The sequence below is a fragment of the Homo sapiens genome, chromosome 3 (genome assembly GCF_000001405.40).
Source record: "Homo sapiens chromosome 3, GRCh38.p14 Primary Assembly".
Lineage (NCBI taxonomy): Eukaryota > Metazoa > Chordata > Mammalia > Primates > Hominidae > Homo > Homo sapiens.
The window spans coordinates 131,212,794-131,231,260 of record NC_000003.12 but is presented as its reverse complement, the minus strand read 5'-3'; the positions used below and the strand labels follow the sequence as shown (position 1 = coordinate 131,231,260).

Sequence of the window (18,467 nt, the reverse complement as noted above, 5' to 3'; positions counted from 1 at the left end):
CACTGCACTCCAGTCTGGGCAACAGAGCGAGACACTGTCTCAAAAAAAAAAAGAAAAAAAAGAAAATAGGAATAAGATAACTACCCAACAGGGTTTGTGAGACAAAATACCACCATGTATGTGAGAGGCTGTATTTAGTCTGTTCTCACACTGCTAATAATGACATACGTGAGGCTGGGTAATTTATAAAGAAAAAGAGGTTTAAGGGACTCACAGTTCCACATGGCTGGAAAGGCCTCACAGTCATGGTGGAAGGTGAAAGCCATGTCTTACCTGGCTGCAGGCAAGAGAGAATGAGAGCAAAGTGAAAAAGGAAACCCCTTATAAAATCATCAGATCTCGTGAGACTTATTCACTACCATGAGAACAGTACTGGGGAAACCACCCCATCATTCAATTATCTCCCACCATGTCCCTCCCATAACACATGGGAATTATGGGAGCTACAATTCAAGATGAGATTCGGGTGGGGATATAGCCAAACCATATGAGAGGCCTTAGCATCTTGTCCCAATAGATTACTTAAAATCAATCACAATCTGTCATGTAACATGTGATAGATATACAACCCAGAGAACAAAACTGCTGCCCTTATGTTTATCATCTGCCTTAAGACTAATAAGAAGGAATTTTTAAAAAATTACTTAAAAGCAAGTTAGAAAATCTCACTTTAACATTAAGGAGTTTTGGCAGTATCATAAAGAGGTACTGGATACCTTGACTGAGTAACTTCATAATAATAATAGCTAATATCTCATGAAGTATTTTATTAAATTCTGAGCATTATTCTAATTACTTTATATTGATTACTTCATTTAATCCTCAAAACCACTCTGTGAGGTAGAAACCATTATTCTCCCACTTTACAGATTAGAAAACTGAGGCACAGTGAAGTTCAGTAATTTGAACAAGGTCACGCAAACTGCAAGTTATAAAGACATGCAAGCAATCTGTTTTCCAACCCTATATTCTAAGTGCCAAAGATGGATATTCTGAGACTGGAAAAATTGTATTTCCTGACCTAGGAGCTGTTTGCCATATAGTATTTTATTCATGTGGTTCTAAATCTGTTTTATTTTCTTAAAAAACATTTCTAAGTGAATATTAGTAGCTAAAATTTTACCGCTTGATGCTTTGACCAAAAATTGAGCACTGTATGTATTTTGCATATCATGTGTTTTGCAACCATAGGCCCAGAATGAAGGCTCTGTAATGCTGCAATAATATCCGTTACAGTTGTTTATGACAGTGGCTCAGAAGGTAGTAGAAATTATATTTTCGATTTGTGGTAGGAGGTGCTGTTGTTTTCCAGATTCCGTTGGAAAAAAATGGGGAAACGGTATAAGCTAAGTTTTTATTTTGGCATTCTGAATCCCCCCTTTAGCTGTATTTTTCTCCAAATGTATTTGTTTCTCTCTTCATGTATTTGTCTCCTAAATTATCTCTCTCTAATCCTTTCTCTTCATCTCTTTCTCCTCTTTATCTCATCCCTTTTTTTGCTTGGCCCCATACCTGTACCCTTCACTTGCCTCTCTCTCTTAATATCAAATTGGAGAGCACTTCTTACTGCTTTTATTTATTGAATATTATGACACATAATCTTTATTAAAATGGTTGAATGGATTTAAGTGGCTGAATGGATTGAATATTATGATATATTGCATAGTCTTTATTAAAAATGGTTGAATGGATTTTTGGAGTGAATCATCTTCACTCCAAAAATCATCTCCTCTAGCTGAGTCTTCACTCAGGTGCCCTTTGGTAGACTTTTATTTTAGTAGCTGCATGGTTCTCAGTTAACAAAAGCTTCTGTAACTCATGGAAGTTTAGGATTGGAAGGTAAGAAGAAAAGAAGGTATGTATGCACATTGCCCAAAGCTTTCCCCTTCATCTTCATAAGCCTCTTGCTTTTTATTCCTCTGTTGCAGACACTCAACACTGAAAGCACATGTCAGGGGTGTTTCTTGACCTATGGCCCATATAAGGCTTAATCTTGCTATAGTTAAAAGAGATCTACTACAAGGGCATAGGGCATATACTCAGAGACTTCACCACTTAAGCAAGAATGTGTCCTCAGAGGCTAAAAGTAGCTAGACAGATTATCCCCTAAGCCCAGGATCTTTGGTTCTGATCCCCAAAACTAAGTCAGTCTTTACAAATTTTATTTGCATTCAATTTGTGAATATGACCCCAAAATATGATTACCAGACAGAAAAGTATATAAAAAGTGCCATTCTCTCTGCTAAAGAGATATTTGCATTTTTTAATTCAATAGCTGTATACGAAGCCCTCCTCAGTGGGAATATGGTGTGTGCCATCTCCCAACCCCCCAAATAAGTGCAGCATGCTCCAGTTCTTCCCCCATCAACATGGTCCAGATCAGATTCTCCAAATTCCATAGGGCCCTGCCTGCCTCTGGACCTTGAAAAGCCAGACTTACCACAAGTAGCTATTATAATAACCCTGTTCCCCATGTCCCCAACTTCACCTTATAAGACTTCCTTTCTTCTCTGGGAGAGTCCAATCAGTACCTTGAACAGTTCCATGGCTTCCGACAGGGAGCATTACATACCTGTTGGTTTGTTCTGTAAGCAGGCTGGGATCCCTCATTCCTGATTTCTTTCTCTGGTCTTTCTAACGCTATTTCTTCTTCCTCCTCATCACTCTCTTCACAATAGGAATCAAATGCATCAGCGTAGTACTCTTCAGCCACAAGTGGGTCTTCTGGGATCTCTGAAATAATGAACAAACAGTCAGATACTACCAGTTATTAAAATTATAATGAGGTAAGAATACTGTATCTTTTCACAGGGATGTATATTTTGCTTGCGTTGACAAAGCTTCCATGGAGTGTAGAGCTGAATCTCAGCTTCCTGGAAGTATTTGGTTGAATGTAATAAACACTCAGCAAAATAAAACCAGTAGAGGAAAGGAGGAACATTTCCATTAGCAACTACCGTTTGAAGGTAAGAAAAAAATCATTAAATAAGAATAAATAATATGCTTTAACATTTTGACATTTGGAGGCATGAATCCTTATTAAAAATGAGGAAATTTAGGGGCAAAGGTAGGACAAGATGTCCTGGCTGAAGGGTCCTATTACACAACACACATAAAGTTTTTAGCATAGGAAGTTGGAGCAAAACTACCACAGCATTTTTCCTAGATATTTCTTTTTTTTTAAATGTTACTGGTAGGACCAAACAAGATGAATAGGATATATAGCAGCATCATTTTGGCAAGCTGGGAAAAACACAATTCTTTTCTAACAGGTAATGATGGCTTTTGAGATGGAGTTCACTCTGGTGGGTCCTACTTACTCAACCTTACATTCAGCACTTATTTTAAAAAAGAATACCCACCTAAGCTGATGACAATAAGCATCTACCCAAGTTACTTGATGCAACATTGTTAGTAACTAGAATAAAGTTGGTGTTTATAACAATCTTCAGTGAAGAAAGGCCATGAATGGATCACAAGAAAGCATAACAATATAATTTACTAATGGGGGGCTAGAAATAAAGAACTACCCAAACAACTACCCTTGGGCTGGGGGAGGAGAAAATTAGAATACTCAGCTGCAGCAAAACAATGGGCATTTTAGACTTTGCACCATACTCAGACTTAAAATTAAAATTTTTCTTCCAAATTGTAACACATTATTTTTCAATCTATTGTTGCTATTTCTGGTCTAGTGGGAAAAATATGAAATTTGGGGTCAGAAAATCAAGGCTAGAATCTAGCTCTTCCACTTTTTAGATGAAAATTTGTGCAAGAGACTTAAACTCACAGAGCTCCAATTTCTGTGATAAAATTAACATAAGTGTAATCTAGTAGAGTGGCTGCTGAGATTGAGTAATAGAATTCTCATGAAAGCATCGGTATGCAGGGAAGTTTCATACAAATGTTCACTCAATTTCCAAGTCTGTACAAATGGGCTTTTCATTAAATGAGTCCAGAATCCTTTGAAAGTAAGATACTTAATGGATGTAGAATTCCCTGGAAATAGAAGATGTTAAAATGTGTTTGTTATCTATGGTTTCCCACTAAAACATAAAAGGCTGCTGTACAGTAGAATAAAAATTAGTCAGCTCAAAAGACAAAAATTACATATATTCAAAATTGCCTTTGCCAGTTCCTTAGAAAGCAGTGTACTAGGGATCTCATACCTTCTCTCAGCAATTTCAACACAGCGTATTTTTTTTTTTCACATCAGTTCAGATCACTGATTTTCAGCTGAGCAACAGATGAGATAGAATACTGTTATGGAGAAGCCATAGTTTTTATTATTTTTATTATTTATATTGAAATAATATATATTATTTTTATTAAACGTGGCTTCTAGTCATTATATCAAGAAGACACCTGCACGTGTCTGTATGTACACATATATATATAACATACCTATACACATATGTACATGCATATAGAACTTCAATACCTTTTGCATACAAGTGGTTTTTGGTTACATGGGTGACTTTTGTAGTGGTGAAGTCTGAGATTTTAGTGCACCCTCACCGAGTAGTATACACTGTACCCAATATGTAGTCTTTTATCCCTTACCTCCCTCCCACCCTCCTCCCTTCTGAGTCTCCAAAGTCCATTATCCCACTCTGCATGCCTCTGTGTACCCATAGCTTAGCTCCCACTTATAAGTGAGAACATATGGTATTTGGTTTTCCATTCCTGAGTTACTTCACTTAGAATAATGGCCTCCAGCTCCATCCAGGTTGCTGCAAAAGACAGTATTTCATTCTTTTTTTAATGGCTGAGTAGTATTGCATGGTGTATATATGCCACATTTTCTTTATCCACTCATCAGTGATGGGCAGTTATGTTGGTTCCATATCCTTGCAATTGTGAATTGTGTTGTGATAAACATAAACGTGCAGGTGTCTTTTTGCTGTAATGACTAGAAGCCATGTTAATAAAGATCTTCATTTTACTTACACTGAGAACGACAAGAGAATCACAGCATGAGAAGTGTATGAAAACTAAAATCTCCTGAGAGATCTCCAGTTCTGCCATCAAGTAGGGACATGTGCTTGCTGAGTGGAATGAAAGACAGAACCATATGATGTCTTCCTTCTCTTGCCCACCCTCAACTCTCCCTGAATCTCTGTGTCTCTTTCTCTGAGTTGTCCATTCTCCCTCTTTCCCCACTCTTTTCTACTTCCTCTCCCTCTCGAGTCTCTTTGTCCCTTTGACAGTTATTCATTCTCTCACTCATTCATATTTTTCCCTCTTGCTCTCCCATTTTTTCTTTATCTTCATTCCTCCTTGTCCACTCCCTTGGCTTTCAAACTACGACATGGTAAGAAATATCATTTACATTGTTGCCCAGTGCACAGAAATGTGCTTATATATGTATGTTTATAAATATCTTTATAGTCGAAACAAAAGTTTCATACACCAAGACCTATTTACCCAAACTACATATGACACACTCTGGTGTTTTTCATCCTGTTCAATTATTTTTTTAATGCTGGTTGCAACTCACTAAACTGACCTCTCAACCTGCAGTTTGAAAAACACCCCAACCTAGCTAGAGAGGCCAACATTCAGAAACACTCCTTTAGAATGCTGGCTTTGGCATAAAAACAAAATCTGCATTTAAATCAAGCCTCTAGCAATAGCTCTGTAACACTGTGTTATTTAAGCTTTCTGCACTTCAGTTTTCTCATCTATAAAATAAAGATGATAATATTCATCTCATGGAATTGTTGTGAACATTACATAGTATAATGGATGCAAAGTATGTATCAAATAAGGCAAACACTCAGTAGTTTTTCCTGTAATACCCAACACCAGGAAGAAATAAGTCATGCATCACTTAACAACGAGGATATGTTCTGAGGAATATGTCATTCAGGTGATTTCATCATTGTGTGAACATCATAGAGTGTACTTATTACAAACCTCGATGGTATAACCTACTACACATCTATGTTTATGTGGTATAGCCTATTGCTCCTAGGCTACAACCCTGTACAGCATGTTACTACACTGAATACTGTAGACAATTGTAATACAGTGGTAAGTACTTGTGTATCTTAACATTAAAAATGTACAGTAAAAATACAGTATAAAAGATTTTTTAAATGGCACATCTGTACAGGGCTGTTACCATGAATGGAGCACGCAGGACTGGAAGTTGCTCTGGGTGAGTCAGTGAGTGAGTGGTGAGTGAATGCGAAGGCCTAGAACATTACTGTACGCTACTACAGACTTATAAACACTGGACACTTAGGCTACACTACATTTATAAAAAATGTTTTCCCTTCTTCAATAATAAATTAAGCAGCTTACTGTACATTTTTTAAACTTCTTGACTCTATTGTAATAACACTTAGCTTAAAACACAAACACATTGTACAGCTGTACGAAAATATTTTCTTTTTTTCATATCTCTCCTAACTAGGAGATAGTCAATAAGCATTTTTTCTTTCTTTTTCTTTTTCAACTATTTTGTTAAAAATGAAGACACAAACATACACATTAGTCTACTGCTACACAGCGTCAGGATCACTGATACCACTGTCTTCCACCTCCACATCTTGTCCCACTACAAGGTCTCTAGGGGCAGTAACACACACGGAGCCTCCATCTACTGTGATAACAGTGCCTTCTTCTGAAATACCTCCCGAAGGACCTGCCCAAGGCTGTTTTACAGTTAATTTTTTTTAATAAGTAGAAGGAGTACACTTTAGAAAAATGATAAAAAGTATAGCAAGCCAGGCATGGTGGCTCACTCCTATAATCCCAGCACTTTGGCAGGCCGAGGCAGGCAGATCACCAGAGGTCAGGAGTTCGAGAACAGCCTGGGCAACATGGAGAAACCCAATCTTTACCAAAAATACAAAAAATTAGCTGGGTGTGGTGGCGCACACCTGTGGTCCCGGCTAACTGGGAGGCTGAAGTGGGAGGATCACTTGAGCCTGGAAGGTGGAGGATGCAGTGAGCCGAGATCGTGCCACTGCACTCCAGACTGGGTAACAGAGTGAGACCACACCTCAAAAAAAAAAAGTATAGTAAATACATAAAGCAGTAACAGTCATTTGTCATCACTATACTGTACATAAATATATGCATTACACTTTTATATGACTGGCAGTGTAGTAGGTTTATTTACCCAGCATCACCACAAGTATGTGAGTGGCTATGTTGCTCTGCAATGTTATGATGGCTATGATAGCACTAGGTGTTGGGAATTTTTCAGCTTCATTAACTGGACCACCATTGTACATGCAGTCTGTCATTGACCAAAAGATTGTTATGCAGTGTATGACTGTATTAGACAATTGCAAATATATACTCAAGTTTAAAATATTTATTTATTTTAAATAGAATAATTTCTCAAAATCCATACTGAACCCAACTGAAATGGGCAATATGGAATCTCGCCTCTCTGTGGTTTCCTTTCTGTGGACTCCACAGGAACCCGCAGGCATTTCACCACACTGTTCACCTCCCACTGTCCTTCCTGTCCACTGATTCCGTCAAGGTTTCCTTCAAGCAGCTCAGAAGAAACCTCTGCAAGGGGGGTTGACAAATATGTTCTGTAAAGGGCTAGATAGTAAAACAATTTTAGGCTTTGCAGATTACGTGGTCTCTGTCACAACTACCCAACTCTGCCTTTGTAGTGTGAAAACAGACAATACATAAATAAATGAGTGTGGCTATGTCCCAATAAAACTTTATTTACAAACATAGGCAGTGGACCAAGTCATATCTCTACAACACAGACAAACCTTTCTTTTGTTAAAACACTAAGCTCCTCTTCCCAAAACGTAGCTCATTGTGTACAGACAGCCTTAGTCCCTTTCCCTCTCCTACCTAAGATTTCCTCCTAGAAGGGGAAGAAGGAAAGAAGTGGCCAGGGAAAAGTGCCATTCTGCCACCTAAGTTATGAAACAAACTGGAATGAATCTGTCTCCAGTATTTCTTAAGTAAGCACCACTAATTTGGTGCTGCCCACAAAAGGACTCATTTTCATTTTCAAAGGGAAAAGTCAAAAAAAACGTAAGTCCGTTCAAACTGTGTTTGTCACGCCTCATGTTTTTCATACATAGACCCAACTTGAAGCCTTCTTAGCTTAAGATTCCTTTCTCCTGTCACTAAGGGGAAAAGAGTCTGATAAACAGCTTTAATTTCCTTGCACCCTGAAGTCAGCCTCATAATGGGTATACTGGAGTGGCATTCCAGATCTTCTGTATGCCAGGCAAGCAGTAACAGAATGTGTTTATGAAGGAATCCAATAATGGCTGCACGAGTTTGGACACAGATGTTTCAAATCCATGCTGGAAAAACGAAGACATCACCCTGTTCCAGGAAAATGATGGCCTTTATCAGATCCTTCAATTAAGACCCAAATAAATGCCTTTCTCTAAGACTTGTGTGAGCATCAGGATCACCTGTGGGCTTGTTAAAACGGATCTCTGGGTCCCACCCCAAGACTTGCTGATTCAGCAGGTCTGGTGTGGTACCTGAGAATCTGCATTACTCACAAGTTCCCAGCTGATGCTGATGCTGCTGGTTTGGAGGCTGCCCTCTCAGAATCACTGCTCTAGAATGTGACTAGTTCAAATAAGAGTATACACTATAATAAAATCTAAAAGATTTTATACTATTTCTACATATTTCAACCTTTGTATGTTAAAGACAAAACATAAACGTAAGAAAAACTTTACCTTAGAAGAGCTCGAGTTACTGTGCTATTAGTTGTCTAAATTACTTAAAATCTCCATAGAGGTATAAGTAATTCAACTACTCCCATTTTGTTGATAGAAAAGAACAAAGCTAAGGGTGAGCAGCCCAAAGTTATAATCTTTATATTTGTGTGCATTTTACAGTTTAAAAAGCATGCTGATATACATTTGATACCACAAAAATTTGATACCATTTAATAGCACAAAGATACCATTTGATCTTTGCAACAACTCTTCAATGTAGACTAGAATGACATTTTTCTGCCCACTTTTCAGATAGGAAAAGTAAGGTTCAGACAAGCTAATGACCAACCGAAGGTCACACTGCTGCATCTGAATCCCCTTTCTTTCACTGAATAAGTCTATTTATGGTTAGTTAGAAATTTTCATCTTTGCTAGTAAAACCATTTCAGAAAGGTCATGATTATCTTTCTTGTAGCTCTGAAAGATATTAGACAACAAGGGATAGACTTTTGACTTACGAGATAGAAAAACTGAAGCTTAGTCATCCTGGTAAACCGTCTTAAGGGAGCTGGGAGAATCAGATTCAGCCTGAGCCTAGTTCTCACTACCATCTATCTCAGATGTGTCAAACTTGAGTGTGCCTCAGAATCAGCTGGAAGCCTTGTTAAAACAGATTCTTGCTCCCACACCCAGTGTTTCTGATTCAGTAGGTCTGGAATGGGGCTTGAGATTCTGCATTTCTAACTATGCCACTCGTCTGGAAACACACTTTGAGAACTATTGCTCTATCTTATAGAACCTTCGAGGAGAAAATGACATACAGATGCAACTGTTAAATGAAAAACTCCCTGTCACTTCATCTACTGCATTAGCTCTTTAAACTGCTAAAACGATCCAGATATACATTAACAATTTTTTTAAAAAAGAGTGTTTTCATAAAACAGGAACTTTGCCTGAAGAGAAAACCAAGTTTCCTCTAAAGGAACTTAGTTCCTTTTAGACATTTAGAAGATCTCAGCCTGTGGGCCCACCACCATCCCAGATGGTTTTAACCATTAGAATGCCTTAAGCAAATCCATGTGACAGGCTTCCCAGAATGGTTCTTAAAGGGTGGTCCCCAGAATAGCAAGAACAACATCACCTGGGCTCTTATTAAAAATAAAAATTTCCAAATTTGCCTATACCTCCAACCTACTGAATCAGAAACTGGGATGAAGGTCCAGCAATGTGTGGTTTGACAAGCTCTCCAGGTGATCCTGATGCACCCTTAAGTTTGAGAACCACTAATTCAGCACAATGACTGGCACTTTATGTCTGCTGAAATAAAAATCCCTTCTAATATTCCAGGTAGATGGTAAGCTCCAGGAGGGCAGAGGCCACACCCATCCTGCTTACCATGGTATCCCCAACACATGATTCAAAGCAGACACCCAAAACTTCTTGCTGAATAAATGAGTACATAAATCTCTAAGAGATAAGGACTTTCAAATTGCCACATAATATCATATACAAAGAATTAACTAATCCTTTGGGAGAGTAACGTGGAGAGGGGAAGCTGAGGAGAGGAAGGAGATACAGATGTTTTTCCTAAGACTCCCCCACCCCTTTCCTCTTTTTCACATACTTTGAACTTATATCTCAGATGTAGTCATACCTTCGAACTGCAAAAAATGTCTTCATCGTACTAAAACTTCCAGTTACATCCTGCAGGCCCACTCAGTCAAGTCCCAGAACTCAGTCAAGAGGACCCAGAGTGTGACAGCAAATGCTGTTAGGCTGGAGCTTTCTCCAGGTGCCCTAGAGTCTGCCCCGGACACCCTGCCTCTCTCTGCATATCTAATCATAGTTCAGCATTAAAGTTTGCGGAGCTGGCTGTCATGGGGCAGACAGAGGGTGGGTGGTGGGAGCCCTCAGCAGAAGGCAGCTACCAAAAGATGTCCATCTCTATTTGTCCTTTCTTTTCTAGTTTTCTGAAGAGGGTAATGGCTTTATTACACCAAGCCAGAAAATACTGAACAAGGCTATTATAAGGCTCTAATAAGAACAAACTGATTTATTCTTGTATCTCAATGTGGCCTCTATGAAGACCATGTTCATTCATTACAAATTGGGAGTGGCAGTGCTTAGAATGATTACAGTTATTATTTGTATTAACATGACAGCCATCAAAGCATTTCTTAATTTCCCAAAAATAACATTTGTGGGTGTGAAAAACTGCTCAAATTCATTTTTAATAAAAACATTAAAAATAAAAATATTATTTTCTCATATGTATAGGAAACCTATGATTAATATGCTACAACGTCCCCAAAACCATAAGATTTTTTTTTACCTTTTACATAAGGTAAAAGTCAATACTTTGAGAAGACACACAGACATAGGCATTGTGCTGAGTTGCCTCAATTTCCCCCAGAAGCTCCATTTTGTATAAGGTAAGCACAATTTAGATGAAAACAAAACAAAACAAAACAAACAAAAAACCAAAAAGAAATTGAAGTCAAAGTTAACTGGTGACATCTGCTGCTTCTGAGAAAAACTGCCTTGCAACAGAAGTGATGATACAAAGTAGTGACTAGGAGGACCACCTGTAGGGTCAGATGGCAATCAAATTCTGCCTCCGTTGCTTATTGGCTGTGTGACCTCAGGTGGGCTACTTCACTTCTCTGGGTCACGGTGTTCTCATTTGTAAGTGGGTGTAGTGGCTACTATCAATGCCCCACACAAATTCTCTTCCCAGACACACTCCAAAGTATAATTGGCACACCCTCGTCTGCTAGCTGCTGTGCATGTTGGCTGCTGTATTAAGTCAGCCAGAGCTGTAATGAGAAGATACCACAGATTGGGTGATTTAAACAATAGAAATTTATTTCCCAGAGTTCTGGAGGTTGGAGATTAAGGGGCCAGCAGGGTTGGATTCCTCTGAGGCCTTTCTCCTTGGCTTCCCTCTTGCTGCTTCTTCACAAGGTCATCCTCTGTGCATGCATACCCTGGTGTCCCTGTGTCCTAATCTCTTATTCCTCTTTTTTTTTTTTGTATACTTTAAGTTTGGGGATACATGTGCAGAACATGCAGGTTTGTTCCATGGATACACACGCGTCCTGATGGTTTGCTACACCCAGGTTTGCTGCACCCATCAACCCATCATCCACATTAGGTATTTCTCCTAATGCTGTCCCTCCCCTAGTCCCCCACCCCCTGACAGACCCCAGTGTGTGATGTTCCCCTCCCTGTGTCCATGTGTTCTCATTGTTCAACTCCCACTTATGAGTGAGAACATGCAGTGTTTGGTTTTCTGTTCTTGTGTTAGTTTGCTGAGAATGATGGTTTCTAGCTTCATCCATGTCCCTGCAAAGGATGTGAACTCATCCTTTTTTATGGCTGCATAGTATTCCATGTTATATATGTGCCACATTTTCTTTATCCAGTCTATCATTTTTGGGCATTTGGGTTGTTTCCAGGTCTTTGCTATTGTGAATAGTGCTGCAATAAACATACATGTGCATGTGTCTTTACAGTAGAATGATTTATAATCCTTTGGGTATATACCCAGTAATGGGATTGCTGGGTCAAATGGTATTTCTGGTTCTAGATCCTTGAGGAATCACCACACTGTCTTCCACAATGGTTGAACTAATTTACACTCCCACCAACAGTGTAAAAGCATTCCTATTTCTCCACATCCTCTCCAGCAACCCTATCAAAAAGTGGGCAAAGGATATGAACAGACTCTTCTCAAAAGAAGACATTTATGTGACCAACAAACATATGAAAAAAAGCTCATCATCACTGGTCATTAGAGAAACGCAAATCAAAACCACAATGAGATACCGTCTCATGCCAGTTAGAATGGCGATCATTGAAAAGCCTAATCTCCTCTTCTTATGAGGACACAGTCAGATTGGCTTAGAGCCCACCCTATCAGCCTCATTTTAATTTAACCACCTCTCTAAAAGCCATGTCTTCAAATACAGTCACATTCTGAAGTACTGGGGGTTAGGGCTCCAACATATGGCTTTTAGCGGGGACTCAGTGAAGCCTATAACAGTTGCTGACAGCACACAGATACTCTATTCTCCACAGAATTGTTCTTGGATCAAAGAAGCCCTCCTTACTGAAAAGATGATGCCACATCTCTGCCCCAGGGGCAGTCCTGGCCAATGACTGAGTGACTTAAGGTAAAACCATCTTTGTGGTGTTACTCATGCCCCAGAGCTCCCTGTGTGAGCAGACTGAGGCTAGTCTCCAGCTGAGACCACATCCTTGCTCAGCTCCTTTTATCTGGACACAGCCCCCAACCCCACACCAAACTCTATATACACACACCCACATCCTTAGAGCTCTCCACAATAAGATACATGCACCAGATACCCATCTCAGGCTGTGCTTCTAAGGAACCCATCTAAAGACTTGGACATTATAATAAAAATATCTTGACTCATGGTTACAAAACAAAATATAAAGGATAAGAGATAAACATCTCTTAAAGAAAAATAGTCAGGTGCCAGCAAAGTCACATTCTTTAATATTATAACTTTAATCCTCAGACCTTCAAGAAAATAATAGAGCCCACATCTGTGGCACTGCTAAAGTGAGTCCTTTGTCAGATATCAATTACATCTCAGATGACTAAATTTTTTTCTCTCTGGAGGTTTAGTCTCCTGGCCCTCTTCAAAGTCTTCTTAAAATGCTTCATCTTGCATAATGTCCAGAACATGGTAGATGCTCCATAAAATGGCACTTATTAATTTAGTAGGTAGAAAGATTCGCTTTTATAATTGTTGTTGTGAGAATTTTTTTTAAGAAATTGTATTTAGAAAAATACCTAATAAAAGTGCAGGGAAAGAAAATGATATGATCCCTTCTGCCAGGGAACAAGAGGAGGGCTTTGGCCCTGTTCCAGAAAGGTGGAGGGAAAGAGAGTGGGAGGGGCCAGAGTGAGATGGTGGCCGATCATGTGCTCTGTAAGACGCCAAATTCACCCGAAACTTAGCATAAATGTACCATCTAGGTTTGTGGGAGTACACTCTATGATGTTTGCTCAATGACAAAATTGCCTAAGGACACATTTCTTTGAACGCATCCCCGTTTTTAAGTGATGTGTAACTGTACACATAAAGGGCCAACAGCATAGCTAGAGGAAAACACTTCCCAGGCAGAGGTCACCTGTCCTTCAGGATGACAGCTGAACTCTCCCAACAAGATAAAAACCACTCCTAAAACCCCAGCTTTCCATTCTCCCAGCAGCTTATAAGGATACCCAGTCTCTCCCTCCCCCATGCCTTCCCCGGCACTATTAAAGAAAAAAAACTGACTCTTCTGATACTTTGCTGTTTGGGAAAAGGCATTTTATCCATCTCAAAACTTCAATTCAACATATATTGTATTTTATTTTTTCCTTTTCAATTTTTAAAAGCAATCTCTCTCCCCACTGTGAACCATGAAATAGTTTATCAGAGTTATGCAGTGAGTCATCGGCTGGGCCTCGAACACTGTGTTCACGGTGTCCTAGTTCCCGGTGACAGCAGTTAAGATTGCTCATTGGAGCTCAGAAGTCATAGAGAGGGAAGGGCACACTCTGAGACCCACAATTGTTCCTTTCCCTGGTGACTCATCCCCTTTTATGATACCATGGGCCCCTGCTGGAGGTCCCAGAGAAGCTGTTACTCCACATGCCAAATGGCTGCTGCATCTCTATTTCATTACAAAGAGCCCCCTCTGCGCCCAAGGGAAGCAACTGTAATTTTCAATCACCGTAACATTTAGTGGGACTGGAGGCATGCAGCAGCATATTTGCTAAGAAATGTTTCAAACCAATGTTCAAGCCAGAGAAGAATATGGACAGCCCCCAGTGAAATAAACACACTCATATTCTGAGGGAGAAATGAACAGTCCAGGTATCTTTTAACACTCAGGTCTGCAATCATCTCCTATCTTCCATTGGCATCATGTCTTACACAGGCTGCTGCAGAAATGTTTTGAACCAATGTTCAAGCCAGAGAAGAATATGGACAGCCCCCAGTGAAATAAACACACTCATATTCTGAGGGAGAAATGAATACTCCAGGTATCTTTTAACACTCAGCTCTGCAATCATCTCCTATCTTCCATTGGCATCATGTCTTACACAGGCTGCTGCAAGCCTTGCCTAATGCACTCACCATGTGACTCTCCCCTTTCAATGAGGCCCTCGCTGCCAATAAAATTGAGTATAAAATCTTAAGTTTGGCAGGCAAGACCTTTTATCATTTGCAACCCACATTCCCAGATCTGCCTCTTCTTACCAATGAATATGGTAGATCTCATTTAAAGGTTATGTACCAAAAGACTCTGATTGGGCTGTCCTGGTCTGGGTCTAGGAAGCTTTATTTTTCTGATGCTTTCCAGATAGTTCTCATATGTACCTTCAGAATCCTGGCTTTCATAACCTGAACTCTGTATTTTTCCCTGAATTCACTCTTGCTTTCCCACTTCATCTCTTTAAAGTACCACTTCTTTTAGAATTGACCTAATATGGTAGACACTAGCCACTTGTGGCTATTTGAATTAAAATTATTAAAATTAAATAAAATGACAAATTCAGTTGCACTAGCTACTTTTCAAGTGCTCAATAGTCACCTGTGACAAAATTATAGAATATTTCCAACACTGCAGAAAATTCTACTGGACAGCACTGTTCTAGGCTGTCACCTCTCTAAATAGAGGGGCACAGCCTCCGCTTTCAGTTTGGCCAGATTTCTTTGAAGCTCTGGGATGTGAGTCACTTTACCTCTCTGATCCTCAGTTCCTCTCCTGGCCAGCACACCATCTACCATCACCAATCCCCACCTCTGCAAAGAGAAGGCAGAATCTCCTGGCCCTTGAAAGTGCTCCAGCTCTCACAGTTGTGGATGTAGCAGGGGAGAGGTAGTGTCTCCATCGCACCCCAGCCCTAAGCCTCTTCATGTAACTGAGTGCCATATCAAAGGATGTATCCAATCAAATCTTCTCATCTGTAAGATGCCCTTTTCTGCCTTCTTTTACACCATATCTACATGCACAGGTTGAATAAATGCCCAACCCCAGCCTTCTGGGCAACCCCCTTGCCCAGAGAAAGGCAAGCTCACAGACCTCCCACACCCCCATGGTAGACAATATCTTTCTTTTCTTTTTTTTTTATATATTTTTTTGTTATACTTTAAGTTCTAGGGTACATGTGCACAACGTGCAGGTCTGTTACATATGTATACGTGTGCCATGTTGGTGTGCTGCACCCATTAACTCGTCATTTACATTAGGTATATCTCCTAATGCTATCCCTTCCCCCTCCCCCCGCCCCACAACAGGCCCCGGTGTGTGATGTTCCCCTTCCTGTGACCAAGTGTTCTCATTGTTCAATTCCCACCTATGAGTGAGAACATGCGGTGTTTGGTTTTTTGTCCTTGTATATTTCACAGCACAGCAGGAATCAAGTCAACTTTGAGAATAATATCACTAACTGCAAGTGGAACTGAACCTCAAATACAAACAATATGTTTATATTCTTAGGATGGGGGTGCACATCAGTTGCTTGGTTTGCCATGATGCTTTCTTTCCTCACACAATAAACTACAGGGTTAGTACCGTGACCTTTTCTAAAACAAACTTTCAAAACCAGGGCTAAATTTAACTACATTGATTAGCTTAGCCTACAGCATCACACATGAGGTTGTGAAAAGAAATAATTTTCTTAGACAAAATGCATATTCATGACCCTTTCTGGAGGGCTAAATTAAGTACAGTACAGTACTGTTTTTTATATATAGGACAGCAGGTTCTGCTGTAAGTGCCTCTCTAAGTGACATCTCTATATTTGACTGAGTGTACTAAAAGCTCTCCACTCCCTGCTACACACACACACACACACACACACACACATGCACGCACATTCACGTGACAGAAATAAGCTCCATGATCCTTTTGGAAATAGGTCTCCCTCAAGCTCTAGAGTCTGCACTTTTATCCTATATGTCAAGATGATTTTCCCTCAGGAAAAACTGTAATGTTTCCCTGAAACTTTTCTTTCCTGCTTTAGAGAGTAAAAGCGAAAATGACAAGGTAACATTTGTCTTTTCTCCCCCAAATTCAGAGAAATGAATTCAGGCCAGGAAATTCATTCTGTCAAGGAGAAATGTAGAAAGACTTCACAGAGACTCTGAAAAATTTGGTACATAGTGGGATGTGCTGTGTTTGGAGGCAGAAGACAACTCGTTCTATGACTTTAGGCAACTGGTTTAAGCTCCCAGGCCTTAGGTGTCTTACGTGTAGAATGGGATGGTGATAACTCACCAACCTTAAAACCAGAGCCTGAACTGAATGATTTCAGGTTACTTTTCTGCATTAAGACTTACAAATTTACGACAAGGAGTAATAAACTAGACCAATATCTTAGTTAGTTTGGGCTTCTGTAACAGAATACTATAGACTAGGTGGCTTAAACAACAGAAATTTATTTCTCACAGTTTTGAAGGCTGGGAAGTCTAAGGTCAAGGTGCTGGCAGATTCAGTGTCTGGTTGAAGGCTCCCTTCCTGATTTGCAGACTGCTGTCCTCTTCTTGTATCCTCATATGGTGGAGGAGCATGGAAACATAGAGACAGGAAGCCAGCTTTCTCATGTCTCTACTTACAACGGAACTAATCCCATCCTGTGGGCTCTACCCTCATGACCAAATCACCTCCTAAAGGCCTCATCTCGAAATATCATCCCACTGGGGATTAGGGTTTCAATATGATGAATCTGGGGGGACAAAAACATGTACTGCATTACAACCAGTGTGCACATGAATCATCTGGGGAACTTGATGAACTCTGGGTTCAGATTGGCAGGACTGGAGTAGGGCCTGAGATTCTGCATTTCTGACATGCTTCGAGGTGATGGAGATGCTGCTAGTCCACAAACCACACTTAGAGTAGTAAAAGAATAGACCACTGATTTCTGTTCCTGGCCACCAAATATTTGCCAAAAAGTAAGATTCTAACTAAGACCACCACAGCTGAAGGATTTAAATTACTACCATAGGCGGCCTCTCCCTCCTCTCTTTTACTTTTTTCTCGTTGTATTTTCTCATTAACAAAGTTTCTGTCATGTACATTGGAATGCACTTAGCAACTTGTATAATTGCTGGCAGACAGAACACCTTGTAAGCCAAATGAGAGTTTCTCTTCAATAAAATCCTAACATCATAATTTCTCTTTTCCACCTCTGGTCTCCTGGAAAACATTTGTCTCCCATTGGCAGCACCCTTCTGTTAACCGGCCATCTGGAGGCAGTCAGGAAACTGCTAGAACATGCTTGCTGGCCTAAAGACATTCTCGGCTCACCAATGTGAAGAGGCAAACTTAACACAGCAAGATGGGATGTGTGTGTGTGTGTGTGTGTGTGGAGATGGGTGGCATGGGGGGTTTAAGGAGTTGGTTCACATTCACGCAATTATGGGGGCTGGCAAGTCCAAAATCTGCAAGGTAGGCCATGAGGGTAGGGCAACAGGCTGGACACTCAGAAAAGAGTTAATGTTGCAACCTTAAGTCCAAAGGAAGCCTGGAGACAGAATTCCTTCTTCTTTGGGGAAGATCAGTCTTCTTCTCTTAAAGCTTTCAACTGATTGGATGAGGCCCACTCACATTATGACATTATCAAGAGTAATCTGCTTTACTCAAAGTCTACTGATATAAAAATATTAATTGCATCTTAAAAACACCTTCACAGCAACATCTAGACTGGTGATGGACCAAACTACCATGGCCTAGCCAAATAGACATATAAAATTAACTATCACAGGA

The 18,467-nt window shown here is 39.9% G+C and overlaps 1 protein-coding gene across 51 annotated transcripts in view, besides 1 other annotated feature; it reads right to left on the bottom strand.

Moving 5' to 3' along the window:
* NEK11 (NIMA related kinase 11) overlaps window positions 1-18,467 on the bottom strand; it is a 323,589-nt gene that overhangs the window by 119,205 nt on the left and 185,917 nt on the right. For all 51 annotated transcript variants that reach the window (XR_001740271.2, NM_001353038.2, NM_001353022.2 and 48 more), the window contains one exon: window positions 2,573-2,733. Coding sequence is in view for 50 of the 51 variants with exons in the window: in NM_001353038.2 (NP_001339967.1) it covers window positions 2,573-2,733 (161 nt within the window). In the remaining variant the exon portion in view is untranslated. The remainder of the gene's footprint in view (window positions 1-2,572; window positions 2,734-18,467) is intronic.
* Window positions 14,013-14,514: an enhancer, noted in NCBI's record as "NANOG hESC enhancer chr3:130935591-130936092 (GRCh37/hg19 assembly coordinates)". NCBI's record gives its function as "activates a minimal SCP1, AML or CMV promoter by ChIP-STARR-seq in primed H9 embryonic stem cells {active_cell/tissue: H9 hESC(primed)}" and the evidence as "EXISTENCE:reporter gene assay evidence [ECO:0000049][PMID:30033119]".